At 41.0% G+C, this 27569-nt stretch overlaps 1 protein-coding gene across 1 annotated transcript; it reads right to left on the bottom strand.

Annotated features, from left to right (window-relative positions):
* Positions 1-3: 3 nt before the first annotated feature.
* Positions 4-27569, bottom strand: ARSH (arylsulfatase family member H). The gene is made up of 9 exons (NM_001011719.2): positions 27411-27569; positions 23964-24085; positions 20943-21068; positions 18722-19145; positions 15445-15581; positions 9960-10094; positions 6640-6802; positions 4747-4868; positions 4-1097 (listed from the first exon to the last, which is right to left on the bottom strand). Exons 1-9 carry the CDS (start codon positions 27500-27502, stop codon positions 730-732), a joined length of 1689 nt encoding a protein of 562 aa, NP_001011719.1. The 5' UTR covers positions 27503-27569; the 3' UTR covers positions 4-729.

The following is a 27569-nucleotide window of genomic DNA, read 5'->3' as shown; positions in this document are numbered from 1 at the left end:
ACATTTGTAATAATAACATTTATTGACTGCTTATTCTACACAAGGCAATTTCACATTAATTAATGCATGTAATCCTCATAGCTACTCTGTGAAGTAGACACTGGTTTTCCTTATTTTACACATGAAGAAACCAAATCACAGAGACATTTCCACGATGATATAGCTACGAGGAAGCAAAGTCAAGAACTTCAGCCCAGCATTTTTTCTCATAACCAGATGCGTATCGGACAGGAAGAGAAAAGAAGGAAAGAGAGAAAATCAAGAAGTCAAACTGACTATAACAGCACTACTTCAAGTTTTATGTGACCCTCTGCTTCATGAAAAAATTAAGTACTTATCATGATTTATTAGAAAGCTAGCATGCCTGGGTATAGAATCTGCAAGCAGAAGTTTCTAACTTATGACATTGGACCTGATGCTTCCATGAATTCTAGGAACAAAAGCTCTACAAGAATCTGCTGAAGTCACCTTGATTTGCTCTTTTCCTTGGGCAATGGCACAATTATATACTAGAAAAAAATTATACAACAAATGCTCCCCTCCAGGTTCACTGTTATATGGGCCCACTTTAATTTCACCGAGCTCTTGAAAGAACTGATTTCTGAGGATAAAACAATGGGTTGGGCCATCAGTTTTTATCCCAAATGGAATGAATCAGTCAGGTGAGCTCTGCTCCTATGACCATTGTAACAGTAAGTTTGTGGTGGGTAACACGTGGTCCGCATGGTCTCAGGGAGCCATGGGAAGGATGTCATCTTCCTTGTCACACCCACAGAAGGGGAAGGTCCCACAGCAAGGCTGCAGCCATGGTTTCCAAATTGTGTTGAACACAGAGAACTGCTGTGGGACAGGTGTTAGTGTCCTACGATGCTCTCTTATGGCTGCCTCCATCTTTTTGATCACGGAGTCAAATAATGGCTCATTGTCAGGGTTCAGTGGAAGGGCTTCTGAAGGGTCTCTTGAGATGTCAAAGAGGAGTGGTGGGTCGTGGTAGGTTACATCCCCCGAACATGAACATATTCCACTCCCATAGCAGGCACCTGTTCCTTCAGGGTAGAATTTAGGAGTCACATAATGAGCTTTCCACACAGTTGCACCTAAAAAACAAGTTGCATTATGTATGATACCATCTTTGTGGTGATTTTAGGACTCTTTTCGTTAAAGATGTTTTTCTCAAAAGCTTTTTCTAGTGATTGATAATACTCTTCTGCACAGCATTACACAGCAACAGTAGCATTTCTTCAACTCTAAGAACAATGCACAATTTCACTGCAAACTTGCAGACATTTTTAGAAATCTTGTCATGAGAATATTTGGAGATAATAATGATGACCCAGATGGGAATAGGGTAATTCTGGGAATACCAAATTAAAATTCTACCTCAATCTGATTAGGTACAAACAAAATTAAAAATGATCCAAGGCTAAATGCCACTTTCACATCTGAAATTGACAAAAGTAATTTGGCAAAGTTAATCATTCTTTATCCTTTTCTCCCTCCCTCTTCTGTCTCTCCCTCCCTCCTCTTCCCTTCCTCCCTCCCTCTTTCTCACTCTCTTCTTTCCTTCCTTTTTTCCTCCATTTCTGTTTTCTTCTTTTCTTTCTTTCCCTCCTTCCTTCTCTCCCTCCCTCGCTCCCTCCTTTCCTCCTTCCTTTACTTCCCTTCCTTCCCTTCCCTTCCCCTTCCTTCCTTCCTTCCTTTCCTTCCTTCCTTTCCTTCCTCCCTCCCTCCCTTCCTTTCTTCTTTCTTCTGATATGAAATGGTTACCAAATCTATTTTCAGAGATCAATTTTATTTTTCATTTTTTATTATTTACTTATTTATTTATTTTGAGGCAGGGTCTCACTCTGTCGCCCAGGCTGGAGTGCAGTGGCAACATCTCAGCTCACTGCAACCTCTGCCTCCTGGGTTCAAGTGATTCTCCCACCTCAGCCTCCCGAGTAGCTGGATTTACAGGCATGTGCCACCATGCCTGGCTGCAGAGATCAATTTTAGATAGAAAATATAAGCATTCCCCAGCCTCTGGTAAATGAGGATTATACCGAAGTCTACTGGTGGGGTCTTGCAGAGAAGCTGTGCTTTCCTACTAAAATAGGATCAAATCATCTAACTGGATTCTTTACCGCCTTTGGTTTTTTCCCTCCTTACTGCATGGAGTGCAGGTGTGATGCTTGGAGGAACTGCAGCCACTTTGCAACCATGAGGTGAGATGCACAAGAATGAAAGCTAGCATGTCAGAGGTGGCCAAGTAGAAAAAAAGAACCCTGGTCCCATGACCGTGGCACTGAGCACTGTGTCAGCCCCATGCTCCCAACTTCTGAAATTATGATGAGAAAAAATAATAACAAAAAATTCTACTGTATAATCCTCTATAGTTAAATTTGGGAGGCTTGTGCTGTTTACGGGGCTGTTTTATTTATCATTGATCATGTCCTGCACTCATATAGAATCTTAAAAACATAGATTTTTATTTACTTATTTTTGTTTTTTTAATTGTTTTATGTGGGACTATCCACATCAAAATGAAGATACATCACACCACAAGTGACTGATCCCATCAGAGAAAATTCCTCCTGCAAATAAAGTTAAATCCAACCAAGTAAGAATTCTGGAATTTCATGCAATGACTCCAAAAGACCTTTCTTTACAGGTCTAAGGCAAACGATGCTATTTGTTAATTTATATTTGTTTGCATGACTTCCATAGCACGAATGTGGGACAGAAACAATCACTAGGATGTTAGAAAGGAAGGAAGGTGGAGATAAGCAACCACCCGGCAGGTCATGTTGAAGAATTTACTCCTCGTTGCTAGAATAATTACTTCAGTCATCCCTAAGCTGTGGGTATTCATAGTCTCTCTTTCTCTCTTGTTCTCTCTCTCATGTATACATTCACACAAGCTAATGCATACTTACACACACACATTAATCATGTTGTCTTAATTTTCTGTATCCTATAATGTTTTGACTTTTTTTTTTTTTTGAGACAGTGTCTCACTTTGTTGCCCAGGCTGGAGTACAGTGGCACGATCATTGCCAACTGCAGCCTCAAACTTCCCACTCAGCCTCCTGAGTAGCTGGACTACAGTTGTATGCCACCATACCTGGCTAATTCTTTTTTTTTTCTTTGTAGGGACAGGGTCTTGCAATGTTGCCCAGGCTGATATCAAACTCCTGGGCTCAAATAATCCTCCTACCTTGGCCTCCTGAAGTGCTGAGATTACAACTGTGAGCCACTGTGCCAGGCTAGTATTTTGACAGCTTGAGGGGCCTCATAGACTTGGGGAAAGACTGCTCCTCCCAGGACTAGCTGATTCCTAAAAATAGCGATATGGTTTGGCTCTGTCCCCACCCTAATCTCACCTTGAGTTGTAATAATCCCCATATGTCAAGGGCAGAGCCAAGTGGAGATAATTGAATATGGGGGCAGTTTCTGCCATACTGTTCCCATGGTAAGGAATAAGTCTCACGAGATCTGATGGTTTTATAAGGCATTTCCCTTTTCGCTTGGCTCTCATTCTCTCTTGCTTTCCACCATGTAAGATGTGCCTTCCACCATGATTGTGAGGCCTCCCCAGCCATGTGGAACTGTGAGTCCATTAAACCACTTTTTCCTTTATAAATTACCCAGTCTTGAGTATGTCTTTATTAGCAACGTGAGAATGGACTAATACAAATAGTAACAACTCACTTAGGAACACACCCTACCTATGCAAGCATCCACCTCCTTTATCTAACTCTCACACAGTAAGCTGATATTTTCTCTGTCCTAAATCAACCCAGCACCGGGTACCAGGCAGCTAGGGGCAGTCTCTGTTGCTCCAAACTTACTGTAATTACTCAAACTACCAGTGTGAAGCTGTTCACCCTGCCCTGCCTGACCTTTCCCTTGGAAAGCCTAATAATAAAGGCTGTTGCTTGGGCTCCTCATTCCTTCCTGCCTCTGCTTCCAAGCCAAGCCCTGGTGCTTCCCACCGTGAACCTGTGTGGTAGGGCATATCCCCTTCTCTCGGGAAATCTAAGTCATGAAAATATTGCAATGGCATTGGTTTGTCTGTGTCAGCACTCACCTCCCTAAGTTAAAATGCTTTGAGTGGATCGGCTGTGGTGGGTCACACCTGTGGGAGGCCAAAGAGAGAGGATCACTTGAGCTCAGCAGTTCGAGACCAGCCTGGGCCACATAGTAAGATCTTGTCTCTATTTTATAAATATTTTAAAAATTTAAAATAAAACCCTTTGGGCACAAATCTCTCTCACAAACACATCTCTCTAAAATCCTACTGCAGGCCAGGCACGGTGGCTCACGCCTGTAATCCCAGCACTTTGGGAGGCTGAGGTGGGCAGATCGCCTGAGGTCAGGAGTTCGAGACCAGCCTGGCCAACATGGTGAAACCCCATCTCTACTAAAAATACAAAAATTAACTAGTCATGGTGGTAGGTGCCTGTAGTCCCAGTTACTCAGGAGGCTGAGGCAGGAGACTCACTTGAACCTGGGAGGTGGAGGTTGTGGTGAGCCGAGATTGCGCCACTGTACTCCAACCTGGGTGACAGAGTGAGACCCTATCTCAAAATAAAATAAAATAAAATAAAATCCTACTGCAGTGCACTGTTTATGTGGCTTTCTCAGCGAAAAAGAACCATCATAGCTGGGCAATATCTGCACATGGTGCAGCTTCCGCCAGGAGACGAAGGAGACCGGAACCGGGCCCTTATCGTCTTTCCACGTGTCCACAGCCTTCATACTTACAGTCCTTCTGATGCCACCTGACCGTGTGCAGATAGACCCCACAGTAGTGGAAGAGGAACTCGTGGTCGGAGTGGGACGCCCTTCCTTCCAGCAGGGGCATTAGGTTCTGGCCGTCAATCACTCTTGGGAGAGAAGGGGGTGTGTAGAAGGTGATGAGAGAGGCATGGTTCAGTCACGCATTTTATAGCAGAAGAAAGAGGAGGAGGAGGAGGAGGAGGAAAAGGAAGGGGAGGAAGAGAAGGAGGCGAAAGATAAAGAGGAAGAATTTCTTTTTTCTTTTTTTTTTTTTTTGAAATGGAGTCTTGCTCTGTCACCCAGGCTGGAGTGCAATGGTGCGATCTCTGCTCACTGCAACCTCCGCCTCCCGGGTTCAAGCAATTCTCCTGCCTCAGCTTCCCAAGTAGCTGGGATTACAGGCACACGCCACCATGCCCTGCTAATTTTTGTATTTTTAGTACAGACGGGGTTTCACCATGTTGGCCAGGCTGGTCTCGAACTCCTGACCTCATGATCCGCCTGCCTCGGCCTCCCAAAGTGCTAGGATTACAGGCGTGAGCCACGGCGCCTGGCGGAAGAAGGAATTCTTAAAACTTTCTCCTTTTCCCTCATTTTATAACAAAAAGAAAGAGAAACAAAACATTCATTTTCTGAGGTCATGGAAGAAGAGAACAGCTAGAACTATTATCCTGATACCTTGCAAGACAATATGAGTTACTGTTGTGGATTGGAAAAATTAAGCTATTTACGCCCTTTTGATTCCAATAAAACTTCACATTTAATGAATAGATATCACCCCACATACATGGAATTAAATCGTTAAAGCACAGGATGTATTTGTTCATTTTAAAGCTCATAGACAAAGCCAGGCCTGGTGGCTCGTGCCTGTAATCCCAGCACTTTGGGAGGCCGAGGTGGGTGGATCACGAGGTCAAGAGATCGAGACCATCCTGGCCAACATGCTGAAACCCCATCTCTACTAAAAATACAAAAATTAGCTGAGCATGGTGGCGCCCGCCTGTAGTCCCAGCTACTCAGGAGGCTGAGGCAGAAGAATCACTTGAACCCGGGACGCAGAGATTGCACTGAGCCGAGATCACACCACTGCATTCCAGCCTGGCTGACAGGACGAGACTCTGTCTCAAAAAAAATAAATTTAAATTAAATTAAAAATAAGCTCATAGACAAAGTGCAAACCAGAAAGAATAATATCATTTAGCACACATGCAATTACACATACGTGTTTTGTTTTCGTTTTTGTTTTTGTTTGAAACAGGGCATCACCCTGTCACCCAGGCTGGAGTGCAGTGACGAGATCTCGGCTCACTGCAATCTCTACCTCCTGGGTTCAAGCGATCCTCCCACCTCAGCCTCCCAGGTAGCTGGGATTACAGGCACGTGCCACCACACCAGACTGATTTTTGTATTTTTAGTAGAGATGGGGGTTTCACCATGTTGGCCAGGCTGGTCTCGAACTCCTGACTTCAAGTGATCCGCCAGCCTTGACCTCCCAAAGTGCTAGGATTACAGGCACGAGCCACCGCACCTGCTCTAGGCATACATGTTTTTATTCAGTAATCATTTAACACTTAATTGCATAATGGTCTAGAAGCTGTGAGGGATGTGATGATGTATGAGAATCAGATCCCATCCATGAGAACAGTCAAACACACACAGGCATAAGTGTAATATGACAAAGGATATTAAGGTATACTCTAAGAAGAAAACAAAATATTCCACCACGCACCAAGGGGAGAAAGACATCTGGCCCTATGGGCAGAATATTGATAATTAAGTAATATACTATGTACATACACACACACATAGAATTATCAAGTATATCCACTTATGTTCAAATATATCACCCTAGGTTAGGAGCAAACACTGTTTCCATACCTGTCCTGGGACAAGATCCCTCCGCCTATATAAGACAGCGTCGGATAGATGTCCATTAAGCTGGTGGGCTCATTGATCACTCTCCCAGCCTCCAAGACTGACGGCCACCGGAATATCCCTGGCACACGGATACCTCCTTCCCATCCTCCCATTCCTTTGCCACCTAAAACCAAAGATTACGACACAACCAAAGATGAGTTAAAACCCAACCATATTGGCCGGGCACGGTGGCTCACGCCTGTAATCCCAGCACTTTGGGGGGCCGAGGTGGGCGGATCACTTGAGGTCAGGAGTTCAAGACCAGCCTGGCCAACATGGTGAAACCCCGTCTCTGCTAAAAATACAAAACCATTAGCTGGGCATGGTGGTGGGCGCCTGTAATCCAAGCTACGTGGGAGGCTGAGGCAGGAGAATCGCTTAAACCCAGGAGGCGAAGGTTGTGGTGAGCCGAGATCACGCCACTGCACTCCATGGTGGTGCATGCCTGTAGTCCCACCTACTCGGGAGGCTGAAGTCGGGGGATCAGAGACGAGGAAGTGGAGATTGCAGTGAGCTGAGATTGTGCCACTGCACTCCAGCCTCGGTGACAGGGTGAGACTCTGTCTCCAAAAAATAAAAAAGAAAAAGAAAAAGAAAAGAAAAATACAGGTTTTATCCACATTATAATGATCCTTGAGGAACAAGCTAAAAAACTTTACCCCGTGATTTCCCATATAGAGGAAGAAAGAGAGGAGTGTGAGTAGAAAAATGGCCAGAGGCAGAGTTGAGAATCACTTCTTAGACAAAAGTCCCCTTGGGTGTTTCTGAGCACAAAACAAAAATGAAGCCCTTGCCGTAAGATCAATCATGAGACTGAGGCGGTTGTTACAGAATAGAAAAATGGCCCTATGCCAAATGCCAGTGTCAAGACCATATGTCTAGACTCTTTAAGAAAAAATAGGAACCTCTCTGGAGGAAAAGGTCTCTTCCTATGTGAAATTTTCATTGAATGTCTTCTACGTGCGCACCTGTCTGACAGGCAGCATTACAAAGAAACACAAAACCGGAAGCCTCTAGCAGAAAATGAGGTAAAATTCACTGCTGACACATTCACTGATCTAACCAGTCTAACCAGTGTTGAAAGGCAGCTCAGCTTCTTGGCACCATTCTTTTTTTATTTTTATTTTTTTTAATTAAGACACTGTCTCCTTCTGTCACCCAGACTGGAGTGCAGTGGCGCAATCATAGCTCACTGCAGCTTCCAACTCCTGGGCTCAAGCGAGCCTCCCTCCTGAGCCTCCCAAGTAGCACCATTCTTTATTATAAGAAAAACTCGACAAGCTCACTGAACCAAATCTATGTGCTTTTAACATACAATCATAAAGCCATCCTGATGTTTTCTTCATCGTATTTAATAACCTGTATCTTTGTGGGGCAGAGCTGCGAGGTGTAACTAGACTAGAACAAAACCCATTGCTTACCCAGGAGATCTAAATCTCTCTATCCATTGAATTCATCGCTTCACAGGAAGCACCCTGAGAAACAGGCATCCTGTCCCAAAGCCTGAGAAATGCTCACAACAATTTTGCCAGTCCTATTCCAGGGTTATGTGTGCTTTTTAAGGACAGGGGCTTTACACTCACACATACTCATGCAATTATAATAATTATTATAATATATAATAGGTACAGTTGTTAGAATCATCATGACTGTAATAATCACACTTCGTTAGATGGCATATATATGGTGACTCAGATCTGTTCCTCACTTTTTCTACTAGGTTTAGCACCAATTTAGTCTTTGCTAATTAACAGTTATGACTACAGCAAGTCCACATGACAAGCCAGAGGAGGTGAATGCTTTCAGGAGCTCACTTCTATTAATTTACAATATATAATCCAGTATCCACAATCCTATATATATACAATGAATATAGTGAATATATATATAGGATTATGTGTAATATATAATGAATATAGTGAGTACATATAGTGAATATGTGTAGGGTTATGTATACTCTATACAGTGAATATATAGAATTCTATATACTATATATAATTAATATGTGACTATAGACATAGTAAATATATATAGTATTATATATTATATTATATATACTGAATATATAAAATTATATATAATGATCTATACAATAAATATAGTAAATATATAGAATTATGTGTGTATATATAATGAATATAATGACTATATATACATAGTGAATGTGTACAGGATTATGTATATTATATGTAGTAAATATGTAAAATTACATGTATTATATATAATGAATATAGCGAATATATATAGGATTATATGTGTTATGTGTAATGAATATAGTAACTATATATACATAGTGACTATATATAGGATTATATATCACATATGATGAATATATATGATTCTATATTATATTACATACAATTAATACGGTGAATTTATATACATAGTGATTATACCTCCAGGAAAATACATATATAAGACACACACACACAGAACTTTTTAATGAAATATAAGGAAGTTCAAACATTCTGATTTTATAATGATGACGATTTTGATACCCTTTTAGTTTTTTTGTTTTACTTGGAAGGTTAGCGGGTAGGGGGAAAATAGCGAATGCAGAATTCTTTTTTAAATTATTCTTTCTGTTGGCATGCCTTTGGTGATGCCTAAGAGTGGGTGCCATGGAGTTCTTGAACAACCCGGCATGAAGTCTATCAAAGTGAGCTGGAAGAATCTGCTGGCCATGAGGAGCTAGGCACCCCAGTCAAATGAAAAACTCTTTTTTCTGATCCACATAACACTAGTTAAAGCATAATGAATAGCATCATTGGTGTGATTGAATTAAAAACCTGCATCTGAGAATCCAAGTGAGGATTAATCTAAAGGAGCACTTCTCACTTAGAAATGACCTTGTCCCCAGGGGACACTGGGCAATATCAGGAGACATTTCTGGTTGTTGCTGCTCTGCGGTGGGTGCTACTGGCATGTGTGGGTGGAGCCCACAGACGCTGTTCAACACCTACAACGGCACAGGATGCCCCCAGCCAGAGAATCCTCCAGCCTCAAATGTCAATCGTGCGGAGGCTGGGACATCTGCCACAGATGGTCATTGAGATGCTGTGCTGTCTCCTGGGGTTGGCGTTGCTTCAAACATTTTACTTTGAAGCTCTTGGAAACTGCCCCAAAATTTGCAGCTTTTTTTTTTTTTCGGTCTAGCTTAATAAGAGTCTAACTCACATCAAAATATCTGAACATCATGGCAAATGAATTCAAGCAAACACAAAGCCAATAGAGACTACTGATTTAAAATGGACAGGCGTTGGTTCTCTACACACAATCACCTTTGTAGATCCCGTTCCAGCCACCCAGCTGAACAGCCCCGTCCAGGGGCTCCAGGTGGCCCCCGTTGTCAGAGGTGAAGTACACCAAGGTGTGGTTGGCCAGGCGCTCCTGGTCCAGGGCATCCAGGATTTTACCTGGAGAGGGTCAGAGACACAAAGACGTTGACCTCTTGATGCAGATCACCACTGCTTTATTACATATCTGCTACTATGTATTTATTACACATAGCGTTTCAATGTTATTCTGCACTACACGATATTGTATAATTAATCATATAATATTGTAATACATACTATTTTAAACTGTACGTAATATAGTGTATATAATATATATTATATCCAGCAGTTAAAATATTTAATATATAATGTAATAATGTATAATATATGCTATATTTACTATAATACATACTTTTATACATTTGAATTACTAATTATATATTTATTATATATTGTATGATATATAGTACATATTTCTTACAAATACATATTAATATATAACATGATGTATTAAAAATGCATAAAGAATTGTTATATATTAAAATATAATCAATTATGGAATAGAACAAAATATATTGTAATATGTACAATCAATACATACTATGTATTATTATACCATATGACTTTACAATACTAGAAACATATCATTATATAATAGTTTATCATTGTGTAAAAATTGTTATGTAATTATATAATAACATGTAACTATTATTTTATTATATAGTATTTTGTATATCAATGCAATATGTAAAAATATATGTTTATTGACATAGGAAAATATATTAACTATAAGATAAAATATGAGTATATGTAATAAATGTATAATATATAATGAACATATTAAATTTTATAATATATGTCTAATTAATATATTAAATTTTATCATAAATTTATATCTTTATATAAATATATACTATATTATTTTATATAATTGAATGATATGTGTCACATATTACTTTAATTAATTTTATTATATTAATGTAATTATATAAATTATATTAAATATACTAGATACATTAATTATATTAATTTAAAATGTAGAATAGTTCATATACAATATATAAAGTACTGGTTTATTATACAATTTTATTGTATAATGTGTTCATTATTTTATTATTGAATATATAATAAAATCTATTTTATTATACAAATCGTGTAATAATACATAAGGTCATCATTGCCCCAAACGATTCAAATAGACAGTGCCAAGAAGGCCCAGCAGTTAAATAAACCGATGAACATTAATTTAAAAAAATACAGTTTGCAAAATGACACCTCCAGGAACATATGAGCAAAGCCATCCCCGTACTCCAGGGCACAGCACCACCTCCCTTAGAGACTTGCTGTCCTGGCTGCTATCTGAAGTCTACATGGAAATTGCAGGTTATTCTTGCTGTTTGGGTTATGGTTAAGATCTAATGACAATTAATGCTGCGCTAGACTCAGCAGACACTGTCTTTAATGTGTTGACAATCCCTCAGGAGGACAGTTTTTTAAAATAATAAGTAGAAAGCTGTTCTAGCAAAATTCCAAACAACATTCATTTCCTTTCTGATGTCTGTTGAGCATTTGCTAATCAACAGATAACATCGTCCTGGGCCTGAGGTCACACTGCATTTCTAGTTTACACTAGATCATCTCTGTGCTATGCTCTTGTCCCATTCAAAGATAAAAGAAAATGTAACTAGCTTAACTAGCTGCACAGAAAACTGTTTATACGTAAACTCAGTGATTTGTTTTAGAAGTGACATATACTATTTTTTAGAAATGCTATAATTAGAAATTAAGATATTTTAAAGCCCAGGGTTTGTAAGATGAAAGATTGTAAAGGCTTTCTGGGAACAGCATAATTATATGTAAATTATCAATTCACATTAGATCTGGCTATAGTATAAAAAAATCATAAAAGTGATTTGTAATTTATACTGTGCAAATATAGTAGCTGCAAATTCTTTTTCTGTTCCAGAACAAATATATTTGCAAATAATTGTCTGTATAGTGTCTAAAGTGAAAACACACAGATGCATATGAATATATAAATACTAATGGTAATAGGTCACTTATAAGACCTCCTACCAAAGACACCTGGAAAGAAACCAATAATGAAAAGTGATTAAGGTTGGGCCTGGTGGCTCACACATGTAATCCCAGGACTTTGGGAGGCCGAGGTGGGAAGTTTGCTTGAGCCCAAGAGTTCGAGACCAGCCTGGGCAAGATGGCAAAACTCCACTACAAAACACACAGAGACACACACACACACACACACACACACACACAAATTGGCCAGACATGGTGGTGCACATTTTTAGTCCCAGCTACTCACGAGGCTGAGGTGGGAGGATCACCTGAGCCGAGGAGGTCAAGTGTGTGGTGAGCTGTGATCGCACCACTGCATTCCAGCCAGACTGGGCAAAAGAGTGAGACCCTGTGTCTTAAAAAAAAAAAAAAAAAGGACTAAAAGTGTTTTTTAATAGGCACAAGTTTCTTTCATTGGAAAGTTTAAAATGTTACTGAATTCCCGAAGATTCATTAAGTTCATTTTGCACGTTGTATTTGCATTTGCATGAGTATAGCATTGTTATGGCTTATTTTTGAGTAAAGTTAATAAGTTACTAAACCTTTGAGTTTTATACTCATATTGTTAAATAGTAAAATAATACCCACAGAGATACCTGTCTGACTTTCAATATGTCTTTATTTTGGTAGAATTTTTATAAGAAATGACGGAGAAAACTCAGAATATTTGGGAGATGTTACGCAGAAAAATAGCTACTCATCATTTCTCCTGTGTCAAATAATATTAGCCATTTAATAATGCAATTGCTAGCTTTTGTAACACGTCTTCATCATGTATTTACATATACTGTAAAACAAACATAATTATTTCTTAGTGATAAACACTCAGATATAGACTTTAACAGAAAATCCCTTTACGGGAAACTGTCCTTTGACTAAGTACAACTATAGTAAGCGATTTCAAAAGAAGCAGAGAAAAAAAAAAAATCCCAATTATATAATTCCATAAAGGCTACAGTGTTATAGCTATTTTTAACTGTAACACCTTTCAGTGTTTGTATTTCGTTACCAAGGAATTAAACTATATATAATAAATGTGTATATATGCAACATACAGTGCTATGTGTGTATATGTATAAAACATAACTTGTGTATACATATAAACCATATGGGGTGTGTGTATATATATATGTATATAACATATGGTGTGTGTGTGTATATAGCTTAATTCATATTAAATCTGACTATAGTATTATGCATAAAAGTGATTTGTAATTTATACCGTGCAAATAAAATAACTGCAGCTGGGTGTGTATATATATACACACACATACACATCCCACAGCAAAGATTAAATTAAGAAATACAGAGCTTAGCTTTAGTTCAGCAAGCTTCAAAAGGGTTTGGATGTCAGGGTTAGTTCCCTTTAACTAAGCCCATAAGTTTTTCCCTTTAACACATTCCTTTTTTCTCCCCATTTCTGCTTAAATGCCTTACTGGCAGCCTGGCAGCACTGACTTTCCTTGTATTCTTTTTTTTTTTTTTTTTTTTTTTGAGACTGAGTCTGGCTCTGTCGCCCAGGCTGGAGTGCAGTGGCACAATCTCGGCTCACTGCAAGCTCCGCCTCCCAGGTTCACGCCATTCTCCTGCCTCAGCCTCCGGAGTAGCTGGGACTACAGGCGCCCGCCACCGCGCCCGGCTCATTTTTTCTATTTTTAGTAGAGACGGGGTTTCACCGTGTTAGCCAGGATGGTCTCGATCTCCTGACTTTGTGATCCGCCCGCCTCGGCCTCCCAAAGTGCTGGGATTACAGGCGTGAGCCACCGCACTCGGCCTCTTTTTTTTTTTTTTTTTTTTTTTTTTTTTTTGAGACGGGGTCTTGGAGTACAGTGGTGCAATCTCGGCTCACTGCTACCCCCACCTCCCAGGTTCAAGTGATCCACCCACCTCAGCCTCCTAGGTAGCTGGAACTACAAGGCGTGCGTGTGACACCATGCCTGGCTAATGTTTGTATTTTTTTGTAGAGATGGAGCCTTGGTATGTTGCCCAGGCTGGTCTCAAACTCATGGGATCAAGTGATCCTCCCGCCTGAACCTCCAAAAGTGCTGGGGCTACAGACATGAGCCACCACGCCTGGCCCCTCTCTGTATTCTATCTCCTCTTTGGGATTAAATATAGACAGTAAATGTTACAATGGTACCTATAATTAGAGGTAAACACACATAGTGGAAATATACAAGAGAAATTTATCCCATGACAAGATTCCCCTCTTTGTCCTATCCGACACCACTAGTTCTTCAGTAATTTTAACTAGTATTTTATAGCTCACTTAGATGGTGGTTTTCAGAGAAAAGAAAGTTATTTATAATAAAATGTGATTGATTAACACCCCTTAAATGCATTTAAATTAAAATAGCTCTGTTTCTTTCAAAGGCACTCCATATAAGTCAACAGAGGCGGCTGATAACTGGGAGATTGTTCGTTTCAATGGTTCGGCAGAGCACCGTTTTCAGAAGTTTGCACTCAGAAGAAGAAGAAAAGTACTGTATTCCAAAATGAAACACCATCGCTGAGAGGAAGGACAACTCTGTCACGTACATAGAGGCGGGGGTGGGCAAATGCAATTCAACTAGCACAGCTATTTATTATTCTGGAATGCATACAGTAACTCTTCCCACCTGCTCATTTATTATCCTTAGCATTTCTTTATAGTGAACACTATGCCTTTGAAATAAGTTGCTTTAGTTGTGTTAAATCCCCATCCCAATTTTCTATGTATTTCCTGTAGAACTGACTAATCAGAATAACGTTCCCTTTTATATCCATCAAAATAATTGGGAATTGAAATTACAATATTCTTTTTTTTTTTTTTTTTTTTGAAACAGAATCTCGCTGTGTCACTCAGGCTGGAGTGCAGTGGTCTCATCTTGGCTGACTGCAACCTCTGCATCCTGGATCCAAGTGATTCTCCTGCCTCACCCTCCCGAGCAGCTGGGACTACAGGCCCGCATAACCATGCCTGGCTAATTTTTGTATTTTCAGTAGAGATGGGGTTTCACCATGTTGGCCAGGCTGGTCTAGAACTCCTGACCTCAAGTGATCTGCCAGCCTTGGCCTTTCAAAGTGCTGGGATTACAGGTGTGAGCCACTGCGTGCCCGGCCAGGAATTACAATATACTTTACAGTGCAGCTTTCTTTATCTTGCCAATGAGTTTTTCAGAAAAGTGGCTGTCTTTATTTTAAAGATGGGAAAACTTGTATTTACAAACTGTGACTTATCTTGGGGAATATATTTCACTGGTATTGCTGAACAATTAAAAGCCAGCTTTTAATCCAATTAAGGGATGAAACAGATACTTTTCAGGTATCTATGCTATGCAAGGGGCTGGACATAATTTGAGACAGTTAGTACAGATTTGTTTTTCTGTAGCCCGTACTTCAGATATTTACAGTTCTGTTACTGAATACTTACCCACCATCCAATCCATTTCTTCTACATTGTCCCCATACCTGCCATATTTACTGCGCCCAACAAACTTCTTTTTGGAGATGAGTGGAGTATGTACGTGCAGGAAGGAAAAAAAGAGGAGAAAAGGTTCCCTTTTGTACCTAAGGGGTAGAAAGTTACCAAAATTACCTTCACAAATATGAAGTCATTTCCATCATTTAAATGCGATTCTGCACTGATGAAAAGATCTCATAATAGCTGGCGGAGGTTTTCTATGTACTTTAGATGACAATACCACTCCTGTGAGTCGTAAATACCACAAGATTTATGTTGAAAGGATATGAGGAGGAATGAAGGATAACAGAACATTTGTGTTCCCAGTAAAATGTTTCATGTAGCCAGGCACAGTGGCTCATGCCTATATTCTTTGCACTTTGGGAGGCTGAGGCAGGAGCATTGCATGAGCCCAGGAGTGTGAGACCAGCCCAGGCAACATGGCAAGACCTCGTCTCTACAGAAAATACAAAAATATAGCTGTGCTTAATGGCACACCTGTGATCCCAGCTACTCAGGAGGCTGAGGCAAGGGGTTCGCTTGAGCCTGGGAGGTGGAGGCTGCCGTGAGCTATTATCACACCACTGCACTCCAGCCTGGGCAACGCAGTGAGACCCTGTCTTAACAACAACAACAAAAATGTTTAACGCAGTTCATTTTATACTCTCTTGTGTCCAGTTTAGCATCTGACATAAAGTAGCAGCTTAATAAATCTTTTAATCTTTGTTGAATGGGTTAAAAAGTATGAATTCTCCTCATCTATTGTTTCAAAGTGTTCTTTTAGGTATGAGTTCAGAAGAATCATATCTTAAGGACAGACTCAGATGTGCCACAGTAAGGATTTGATGCTCCTTACTCTCCATTTTCCCTTCTTTCTTTCTTCCACCTCCTTCATGGTTCCTGGAACATAAGTCTGATGGCTGGAGCTTTGGCATCTACCTTGGGCCATGAGGCTGCTCACAAAGGATGGCAGAGAACAAGATAACCTCACTGTATCTGTAGCCTGCCTACCCCAAGAGAGAAATAAATTCCCCTCATTTACATCTTGCTTTTTGTGTTCTGCATTTTATGTATTTATTTATTTTGAGACAAAGTCTCACTCTGTTGCCCAGGCTGGAGTGCAGTGGTGCAATCATGGCTCAACCTCCTGGGCTCAAGTGATTCTTCCACCTTATCCTTCCAAGGAGCTGAGACCACAGGTACACGCCACCAAGCCTGGCTAATTTTGTACATTTTTTGTAGAGATGGGAGCTCACTATATTGCCCAGTCTGGTGTCAAACTCCTGGGCTGAAGCAATCCTCCTGCCTCAGCCTCCCAAAGTGCTGGGATTACAGACATGAGCCACCACACCTGACCTTGTGTTTTGCATTTTAATGTCACATGCAGTCATTCTAAAGCTACTCCTTTACACATTTTTCACAACCAGCATAGAAAGAAGGGAAGGAGATGGAGATTGAATATATTCCCAAAAAGATAGCCCAAGCAAATGGGTTGGGACGGGAAGGGCAGGTAAGATGAATGGAGAGCTGAGTGGGTGGCTGATCACTGTTCTCATGGTTGTGTTGGAATAAATAATGAATCTGATGGGCACAGGGGCATATGAGTGAATGATATTCCACTGCATACCCTTCAGCCTGGTGGAGTAACAATATATCCTCCCCTCTCCACTCCCTGCCAACCCCACTAAGGAAGGTGACAAACAGTGTCAATGAGAATCCACACCAACAACTTTAATGTGCCCCTCATTTGTAACCCAGGCTGGGCACAATGGCTCACACCTGTAATCCCAGCATTTTGGGAGGTCAAGGCAGGAGGATCGCTTGAACCCAGGAGTTCGAGACCAGCCTGGGCAACATAGCAAGACCTTGTCTCTATGGAAAAATAATTTTATAAAATTAACTGGGTGTGGTCATGTGCACCTGTAGTCCCAGCTACTCAGGAGGCCAAGGTGAGAGGATCACTGGTGCCCAGGAGTTTGAGGTTTCAGTGAACTATGATTGCACCACTGCACTCCAGCCTGAGTGACAGAGTGAGACCCTGTCTCCAAATAATAATAGTAATAATTTGTAACGTAGGAGTGAGCTGGTATGGGATGATGAGAGCTCATTATAGTTATGCCTGCATAGCTTGTGTTGAACACAGAAAACTTAAAACTAGGTATCTGTAAATACAGAGCCACTATCCAATAGTTTATGGACAGAGAGCTCTTCCGGCTGTGTCTGAGACAGAGAAAAAAAATTTTACCCCCCAGGTTTAATCAATTTACATAACAATCCACACTGAAGCAATATAGATTAAAATATGGCAACTCTAGTTTTCATTTTTAAAAAGGGGTAAGTGGCCAGGCGTAGTGTATCCCCAGTACTTTGGGAGGCCAAAGTGGGTGAATCACTTGAGCCCAGGAACTTGAGACCAGCCTGGGCAATATGACAAAACCCCATTTCTAAAAAAAAAATGCAAAATTTAGCCAGGCATCCTGTAGGTGCCTGTAGTCTCAGCTACTCTGGAGGCTGAGGTGGGAGGATCACTTGAGCTTGGGAAGTCGAGGCTGCTGTGAGCCATGATTGCACCACTGCACTCTAGCCTGGGTGGCAGAGTGAGATCCTGTCCCAAAAAGTAAAAAAAAAAAAAAAAAATTAAAACATTAAAAATGGGGAGGTGAGCAAAATATGTTTTTATGTTTTGTTTTTGTTTTGGTTTTTGTTTTTTTGCCTTTTGAGCATTCAAAATTTGCAGGAAATTTAACTATTTAATTCTACCTAAGAGGAGACTCAAGTCTATCACAAATGTCACCTAAAGTTTTTTTTTCCTCAGCTTTTATTTTCGATACAGGGTCTCCATGTGCCAGTTTGTTACGTGGGTCTATTGCACTCAGGGGGTAAGCAGAGCACCCAATAGGTAGTCTTGCAACCATGTGCCCCTGGTCTCCCTGTCTCCCTCTCTCCTCTAGAAGTTTGCAGTCTATTGTTTCCATGTTTATGTCCATGGAGGCTCAATGTTTAGCTCCCATTATATCCCACAAAATACTACACAGCCATGAAAAAGAATGAGATCATGTCTTTCGCAGCAACATGGATGCAGCTGGAGGCCATTATTCTAAGCAAATTAATACAGGAACAGAAAGCCAAATGCCGCACATTCTCTCCAAGAGACTTTTAAAGGCCCATGTTATCAAGGTGTGATGACCTCCTATGAAATAAAAATAAAATTTCCATGCAGGAAATCAGGCAAGAAATGGCTAAATACCTTTCAATGAAAGCAAGTGCCTCCTTCAGCATGAGGGAAGCTACTTTCTCCTCTTTCATTGGCTGCTGGATAATTTCATGGTTCCTCATAAGGATGCAATTCCAACGTCGAGTAAATCCATAACTAGAGTACCAGGAAGTGAAAAACAGAAAGGCGAGGAGAGCAAAGACAAAGATGACCTTCCATGGCACTGAGAACCAGCGGGCGAACTTGGGAATGAGAAGCAGAAAAGGAACCAGGGCAAGGGCTACCGTGGAGATCCACAGTTTGATCCTGAGCCAGCGGTGCAGTTCTGGTGTCTTGGATGCCTGGCAGTCGCTTAAAAGTCCAAAAGGCACCCCGTAAAAGTAGTGAAAACCATGGTTGAGCGGGTGGTAACAGTGATCATTCCGAGAGGCGCAGCTCAAACCCAGGTGCCATTTGCCTAAAAGTAAAATAAAATCGTACCATGGCAGCATGGCAGCATTCAATGCCGGTCTGTTTCTAGAATGTGGGCTTCCCTTTGGAAAAGTCAAATATAACTTTCATTCTGTTGTCATCATGGTTTTTTCTTGATATCCCCAAATACCTCCCTGGTATAGACATGCCACCAACAGCCTTCTCCCTACAATATGCCTCTTTCAGACAAAAGCCATGCAGCAGGAGCCTCTTTGCTTGCGACAAGGAGAGGAGCCTAGTGTTCATTCAGAAGAAACCTTTTGCTTGGTACCAAACAACCTCATGAACAATGAGAAACTTTCCAGGTATCTGGAGCTTGCTAGGAGGGCAGAATCGATGTCTTGGTTGTTTGGTGGGGACAATACCAAGGACTTTCAGTGCACCTTGCACATTCATGCTTTTATCTAGCAGTGCCTTCCGACCCTCTTATTCCATCTCACTGAAAGGTAACCGAGATTTTATGTATAGATGGAACACCTCTTCTAGGTCCTCAAGCTAGGGATGACAAAGTAGCCAAAGAATTTCATCAAGAACCAAACGATTCTGATAATGCAAGTAATTCCTTTTATCAAGCACATACTCTAGGGGGCCAGGTCACGTTCTGATTTGTCCGCACACATTATTATATTCAACACTTCCCAGACCCTTTATTATGAATAAAAAACACATTGTCTAGATTATTTTTTTAAGAGACAGAGTCTTGCTCTGTTGCCCAGGCTGGAGCGCAGTGGCATGATTATAGCTCACTGTAGCCTCGAACTCCTTGGCTCAAGCAATTCTCCTGCCTCAGCCTCCTGAGTAGCTGGGACTATAGGTGCGTGCCACCATGCCCAGCTAATTTTAACATTTTATTTTTGTAGATCCAGGGTCTTGCTATGGTGGCCTAGGCTGGTCTTGAACTCCTGGCCTTCTTCTGCCTCAGCCTCCCAAAGTGCTGGGATTACAGGTCTGAGCCACTGTGCCCAGCTATCTAGATTTATTCAGAAGCCTGAGTCACATTAATGAATAATAGCAGAGTCAGATCTGAATCCCGTGCTCTAATGATGTAAGAACGCTGCTCAAAGCTAATCTAGAGAATTCCCACTCACAGGACGCTGCTGGGAGTTGCATGGGAATACATGCCCTACTGATAGAAAATTTCTTAACCTTTTTTTTAACTGGGGATATCTCGGAGCTGTGGCTTACAATTCACATTAGGAATCCTCAAAAATAGTGGACCGTACAATGCTTTTGAGTAGCATTTCCCAAAAGGATTTGATCACACAAGTTATTCTTAGAGGACTATCTTCTAGGACTGGAATTCTACAAACTTATTTTTCGGTGAAAGGCTCCCTCACAAGCTCATGTCCCCCCGCCCCAAACCCCCACCCCCGCCAAAAGGGCATAGAATATTAAGTGATCTAAGTCGACCAGCAATTGCCTCCATTTGACAACTCTTAATGCTGTAAGTTTCCCATTTCAACAGTACTTCTCTACAAATTTACTGGTTTTTCTGCTAATAATGGTGTCACAAACATCGTATCCCTCCAACACAACATTCCATTTTAGTGGCAACTTTGGATACACTTGTTTGCTTTCTGTTCTCATTGTTTTTCCAATACTATGCCCTCGATTCTACACATGCTCAATCAATGTGTGATCATTTCCTTCTCCAAGTGTCTTATCTCAAAGAGAAGTCGGTCAAACTGGCGCGCACAAAGCCAACATCCCCGGAAACACCTTAGACACGATGACAGAGAGGCTGCAGGATCACGTTTCCACGGGCAGAGTTCCGGCGCCATACCTATGAGTCCCGTGCGGTAGCCACGGTGCTGCAGCAGCTTGGCAAAAGTCGTTTCATTGGTGGGAAGACCACCTGACCCACCAAGCCACGTGAAGGCACGGTTCAGGTTGTAGGCAGACACCATCCCTAAATTCACAGAAGTCAATAAGTTAGCACCATAGTCTTTGCTAATACCGAATTTATCCCGACATGCTTAAAGTCCTCTCCTCCCGCACCTCCTCAAAGCCATTCTTCCCCAAGTTTTCTGTTGCTTTCTGGCTGTACGTCCTTGACCCTCCTTTTTTCACTTGCTAAATGCAAACATTCCCTTGGAATTAGGGTTGCCAGAATAAATACGGGACACTTAGTTATATCCATTTGAATTTCAGACTAACAACAAATAACCTTCGTTAGTTTTTCATATAGAGGCTGCTAACCTTCAATGTTTCAATAGTATCTGAGGACACTACTGCATTTTAGCTGGGTATAAATACATTTTTAAAAGTATCCTTGAGAATCTGAAATGAAGAAGTGTAGGAGTGACAATTTCTTTTTCATATGTGTGTGTGTGTATATACACATACATATATATATTATATATATATATATATATATATATATATATTTTTTTTTTTTTTTTTTTTTTTTTTTTTGAGATGGAGTTTCACTCTGTCACCCAGGCTGGAGTGCAGTGTCAACATCTCGGCTCACTGCAACCTCCGCCTCCCAGGTTCAAGCAATTCTCGTGCCTCCGCCTCCCTAGCTGGAATTACAGATGTGTGCCACCACACCTGGCTATTTTTTGTGTGTGTGTTTTTAGTAGAGACGAGGTTTCACTATGTTGGCCGGGCTGGTCTCTAACTCCTGACCTCACGTGATCCACCCACCTCAGCCTCCCAAAGTGTTGGGATTAAAGATGTGAGCCACCGTGCCTGGCCTCCATATAATTTTATGTAGATTTATACTGGTGGACAATATTATACACCTATAGTTTAAAAGGAATTCACAAGAAAACCACAAGTGAAGATCAGCAAGAAATAAATAAATGATAATTTCAGGCCGGGCTCAGTGGCTTACGCCTGTAATCCCAGTGTTTTGGGAGGCCAAAGTGGTTGGATCACCTGAGATCAGGAGACCGGCCTGGCTAATATGGTGAAACCCTGTCTCTACTAAAAATACAAAAATTAGCTGGGCTTGGTGGCAGGCACCTGTAATCCCAGCTACTCAGGAGGCTGAGGCAGGAGAATCACTTGAACCTGGGAGGCAGAGGTTGCAATGAGCTGAGATCATGCCATTGCACTCCAGCCTGGGTGACAAGAAGGAAACTCCATCTCAAAAGAAAAAAGTATATTTCAAGGATCCTACCTTGGAAGAAGAAGAAAGTAGACTCTAGATAGTGTCATTGATAGGAAAGAGAAACAGTTTTATTAAGGGAAGCATTAGACCATTATCTTGCTGTTGAACTGTTTTGCTGAAATTTTTGATAAGTAGAATGAATTAAACTGAACCGTTTGTGTCAAATGATTAAAAATATACACATGGCAATGACTTGAAATCTCTCCACCAATCACCTAATTTTTTTCTTAATTTTTAAAAATAAATTTTATTTCACCATAATCAATACTTAAAATTCCCTGAAATTAGGCAGAGCATGGTGGCTCACTCCTGTAATCCCAACACTTTGGGTGGCCAAGGCAGGTGGATCACACATGAGGCCAGGAATTCAAGACCAGCCTGGCCAACATGGTGAAATCCCATCTCTACTAAAAATACAAAAATTAGCCGGGTGTGGTGGTGCATGACTGTAATCCCAGCTATTCAGGAACTGAGGCAGGAGAATCACTTGAACCAGGGAGGCAGAGATTGCAGTGAGCTGAGATCAGACCCTTGCACTCCAGCCTGGATGACAGAGCAAGAGTCTGTCTCAAAAAAAAAAAAAAAGAAAGAAAGAAAAAAAGAAAAAATCCTGAAATCCTGAAATTATAAGTGTAGTTTTTTTTGGAAACTCATACAAATTCATATCTTTATCCCTCTTCATACACGGTACTGTGTTATATAGAGACTGCTTATCTAGAAACCAAACTATTTTGAACAAAATGGAGAACCTTGAATTATGAAAGAAGGTCATTAGGCAACAAAAAAAGATAATAATAAATCAATATTTATGGGACAAAAACTTTTAATGTTTACTCTTAATTTTAGTATAATTCTCATTAACCTAATTAGTTCATTCCTTGAATGTATTGGATGAGAATCTACTACTTAGGAGGAAGAAAATTCATACAGAAAAATTTTTCACTGAAAAATTAAACTGTGAAGGCAGGTATACTAAAATTATGACAAGCAAATACTAGAATTAAACAAAATGCAACAGCATGACACGATATTTCACATAGAGTCTGATAACCATGAACACTTCAATAGTGTCTAAGGGCACCACTATATTTTAGCTGGGTATAAAAATTGTTGTTCATAATATTGATCTTGAGTGGATGTTTGTAGGTATTGATCCTAAGCTAAGCAGCAAAGGAACACATTTAATTGTCGTTATATCAACTTGGTAAGTCTAAATCTTGAAATGATGGGGTCAAGTAAGGGAGTATGTAAAAGTTTCATTTCCTTTTTGTTTTCTCAGTTATACCTTTTTTCCCAACTGTGTCTAGTTTTCCAATCTCATCCACAGAGGTGGATTTGATCCACTTATCTCAGAACCACTGCATGGTCTCTGCTAGCTTAAAGACATCAGGGGTCTCTTGAGAAATCTTAGCACAAGTACCTGAAAATGGGAGTGTTGACCATAAGTTGGCAAATTGCCCCCAAGAGGCCTAAACCCTGTCGCTATATGCACAGAGATGAGCAGGTGCAGTGGTACCTGGTGAGAGGCACACATATTTAAGCTGCCCAGGGATAACAACCACCTTTGAATTTAGATCCCTAATACTCTGAGTGACCTTTTGAGAATTCTTATAAAGATTTGCAAAAACTAATCATTAGAATGCATTCTGGTGAGACTGAAATGTTGCTGCCTTTTTATTGCCTCACCTGATCTGATGGGGTACCGGCCGGTCAGGAAGGCAGCCCGACTTGGGGTGCACATGGAAGCAGCTGCGAGATGCTGGGTAAGCCTCACTCCTTCACTTGCCAGGCGGTCAATATTAGGTGTGCTGCAGACCAAAGAAGAATTCAGCAGGTGAGTTTCTAAAAATTCTCAATACAATGATCAAGGATCAAAGCTATTCTATTTTGGGTCAAGTTGACTCTATTTCTGGTAAACCTAAAATCCATCTTTTTAAAACTTTAATCTGTCTATTTCCTTATATGCATTGATGGTTAGAAGCAAATGGAAACATAAGTTTAAAATATATCTTTAGTCAAAACTATTACAAATGAATACAGGTCACTCGGTATACAGTTTTATGAGTCTGAGAAAAAAATGTATTTCAATGGAAAAATTAGCCAATTTCTTCTTATCAAGGACCTAAAATTAATGGGTAATTTAGATTAAGTAAAATTTTAATGTGTTTCATATTTTTTTAAGAGACAGTCTCTTGCTCTGTTGCCCAGGGTGGAGTGTAGTGGTGCAGTTATAGCTCACTGCAACCTTAAATTCCCTGGGCTCAAGTGATCCTCCCACCTCAGCCTCTCAAGTAGCTAGGTCCACAGGTGTGCGCTACCATGCCCTACTAATTTATTTAAATTTGTATTTAATTTAATTTTTTTTCTGAGACGTGGTCTCACTCTATTACCCAGGCTGGAGTACAGTGGTGCGATCCCAGCTCACTGCAACCTCTGCCTCCCAATTCAAGTGATCCTCCTGCCTCAGCCTCCTGACTAGCTGGGATTACAGGCATGAGCCACCACGCCCAGTGGTATATTTTTAGTAGAGATGAGGTGTCACCATGTTGGCCAAGCTAGTCTTGAACTCCTGACCTCAAGTGATCCACTTTCCCCAGCCTCCCAAACTGCTGGGATTGCAGGTGTGATCCACCACACCTGGCCTTAAAATTTTATGCAGAGATACATGTCTTGCTATTTTGCCCAGGCTGGTCTCAAACTCCTGGCTTCAAATGATCCTCCCACTTCAGCCTCCCATTAATATATATCTTACGGTAAAATTGACCTATTTTATGACCAAATTGTGACATTTTGGAGTTTAATTTATTTCCCATTTTGTTTGTCTAATACATTGCAAAAATTTTGTAAAACTTATAGGTTAAAAAAAAGACGTGCCTGTTCTCCTAAAAGCTAAACCATATCCAATCTTGATCCCATGGGTACAACATTTTTTTTCCATAATCCCACAGAAAGATGATAATGGAGGCTGAGTGTGATGGCTCACGCCTGTAACCCCAGCACTTTGGGAGGCCAAGAGGGGCTGAACACTTGAGCTCAGACCAGGGTGGGCAATATGGCAAAACCCCACCTCTACAAAAACAAAAAACAAAAAAAAAACAAAACAAAAGAAAAACCACAAAAATTAGGCAGGTGTGGGGGCTCATGCCTATAGTCCCAGCTACTCAGGAGGCTGAGGAGGGAGGATCACTTGAGCCTGGGAGGTCAAGGCTGCAGTGAGCCAAGATCATGCCACTGCACTCCAGTCTGGATGACAGAATGAGATCCTGTCTTAAAAATAAAAGGAAAAAAAAGAGATAGAGGAAAGAAAGGAAAAGAAAAAGGGAAGAAAGAAAGAAAGAAAGAAAGAAAGAAAGAAAGAAAGAAAGAAAGAAAGAAAGAAAGAAAGAAAATAAGAAGAAGAAGACCAATGCCTTTCAATCAACAAATATATGCTTAAGATATAGGACTAGACTGTGATCTGCATTCCAAGAAGAAACAATGTTATTTAAATCCACACTAAAAGATGCTATGTATTTTTACAAGAGCCAGATTGGTCTATCGATAGAGAGTAGAGAAATAAAGAGCCCCGGGTACCAGAGACTTTAGAAGTAATTCAAGGAAGATATTTTTAAAACTGTAGACTAATGTGGTGTATGTATATAATGAAAAAGTATTCAGCCATGGAAAGGAATGAAGTGCTGACGCATGCTACAATATGAATGAACCTTGAAAACATCACGCTAAGTGAAAGAAGCCAGTCACCAAACACCACTTACCATATGTTATGAGCTAAATTGTGTCCCTCCCAAATTCCTGTGCTGAAGTCCTAACCCCCAGGACCTCAGAATGTGACTGTATTTGAAGATGGAGTCTTTATAGAGGTGATTAAGGTAGCATGAGGTCGTTAAAGTGGACCCTTATCCAATAGGACTGGGGTCTTTATAAGAAGAGGAAATGAGGACACAGACACACACAGAGGGATGACCCTGTGAGGACACAGGGAGAAGACGGCATCTCCAAGCCCAGGAGAGAGGCCTCAGGAGGAACCAGCCCTGCAGACACCTTGATCTCAGACTTCCAGCCTCCAGGACTGTGGGAGAATCAATGTCTGTTGTTTCTAAGCCACCCAGTCTATGGTATTCTTTTATAGCAGCCTGAAATAGACTAAGACACCTCATAAGAAGAAGAGATGAGGACACAGACCCACACAGAGGGACGACCCTGTGAAGACACAGGGAGAAGACGGCATCTACAAGGACAGGAGAGAGGCCTCAGGAGGAACCAGCCCTGCCCACACTTTGATCTTGAACTTCCAGCCTCCAGGACTGTGAGAGAATAAGCTGATGTTATCTAAGCCAACCAGTCTGTGGACCTTTGTCACGGCAGCCTGAGAAAATAAATACTTTATATGATTACTTGTATATGAAATTCTAAGAAGAGACACATCCATAGAGACAGAGGGTACATTTGTGGTTAACAGGGCATGGGGATAGGATGGGAAATGGGGGTCTTCTTTGTGGGGGTGACGGTTGTCCAACACTGTGAATGTACCAAATGCCACTGAATTGTTCACTTTAAAATGGTTAAAAGGTGATTTTTTTTTTTTTTTTTAAACAGAGTCTCCCTCTGTCACCCAGGCTGGAGTGCAGTGGTGGGATCATAGCTCACTGCAGCCTCAATCTCCCTTGCTCAGGCAATCCTCCTGCCCCAGCCTCCTGAGTAGCTGAGACCACAGACACACGCCACCATGTCCCAGTAGATTTTTTTTTTTATTATTTTTGTAGAGACGGGGTCTCCCTGTGTTGCCCAGGCTGATCGCAAACTCCTGGGCTCAAGCAATGCTCCCACCTTGGCCTTCCAAAGTGCTGGGATTATAGGCTTGAGCCGCCATGCCTGATCAAAAAAGGCCAATTTTTAAATGTAAATTTTGCCCAACAATGAAAACGCCACCACCAACAGCTAGAATCTAAGGAAACTGGGAGGTTAAGTGGTCTCCTGACATTTTGCAATTTTCCCCAGTGACCTCTGCTATTCCTGCCGATAACATCAGACAATGACTTCTCTCCAGAAACCCTTCTCTGCAACGGCAAAGACGTGAACACTGTGGTAAGGGAGACTCCCACATACAGGGAGGGGGTCAGAGTCCATCTTTACCTCACTGAGTTATTACCGTAGCAGCACAAATCCCCCACTCCAAGGTCATCTGCCATCAGCAGGACAATGTTGGGTCTGGCGTTTCTTGTCATAAATGTGCCATCAACACCGCAAAACAAACAGCACAGGGACACTGACAGCCAGCAGCTCCTGAAAGCA

The sequence above is a fragment of the Homo sapiens genome, chromosome X, assembly GCF_000001405.40.
Source record: "Homo sapiens chromosome X, GRCh38.p14 Primary Assembly".
Classification (NCBI taxonomy): Eukaryota; Metazoa; Chordata; class Mammalia; order Primates; family Hominidae; genus Homo; species Homo sapiens.
Note: the sequence above shows the minus strand (reverse complement) of the source record. Positions and strands in the feature narration are given on the sequence as shown.

Bases quoted from the DNA above. Each gene is read 5' to 3' on its own strand.
- ARSH (NM_001011719.2), bottom strand. From the start codon at position 27,502: ATGACAAGAAACGCCAGACCCAACATTGTCCTGCTGATGGCAGATGAC. The intron at 21,069-23,963 runs GTGAGGCAATAA...CTGTGAATTTAG, and splicing joins CCGGTACCCCATCAGATCAG to GGATGGTGTCTGCCTACAAC. The intron at 6,803-9,959 runs GTGATTGTGTGT...CTTTGGTTTTAG, and splicing joins CTGGAACGGGATCTACAAAG to GTGGCAAAGGAATGGGAGGA.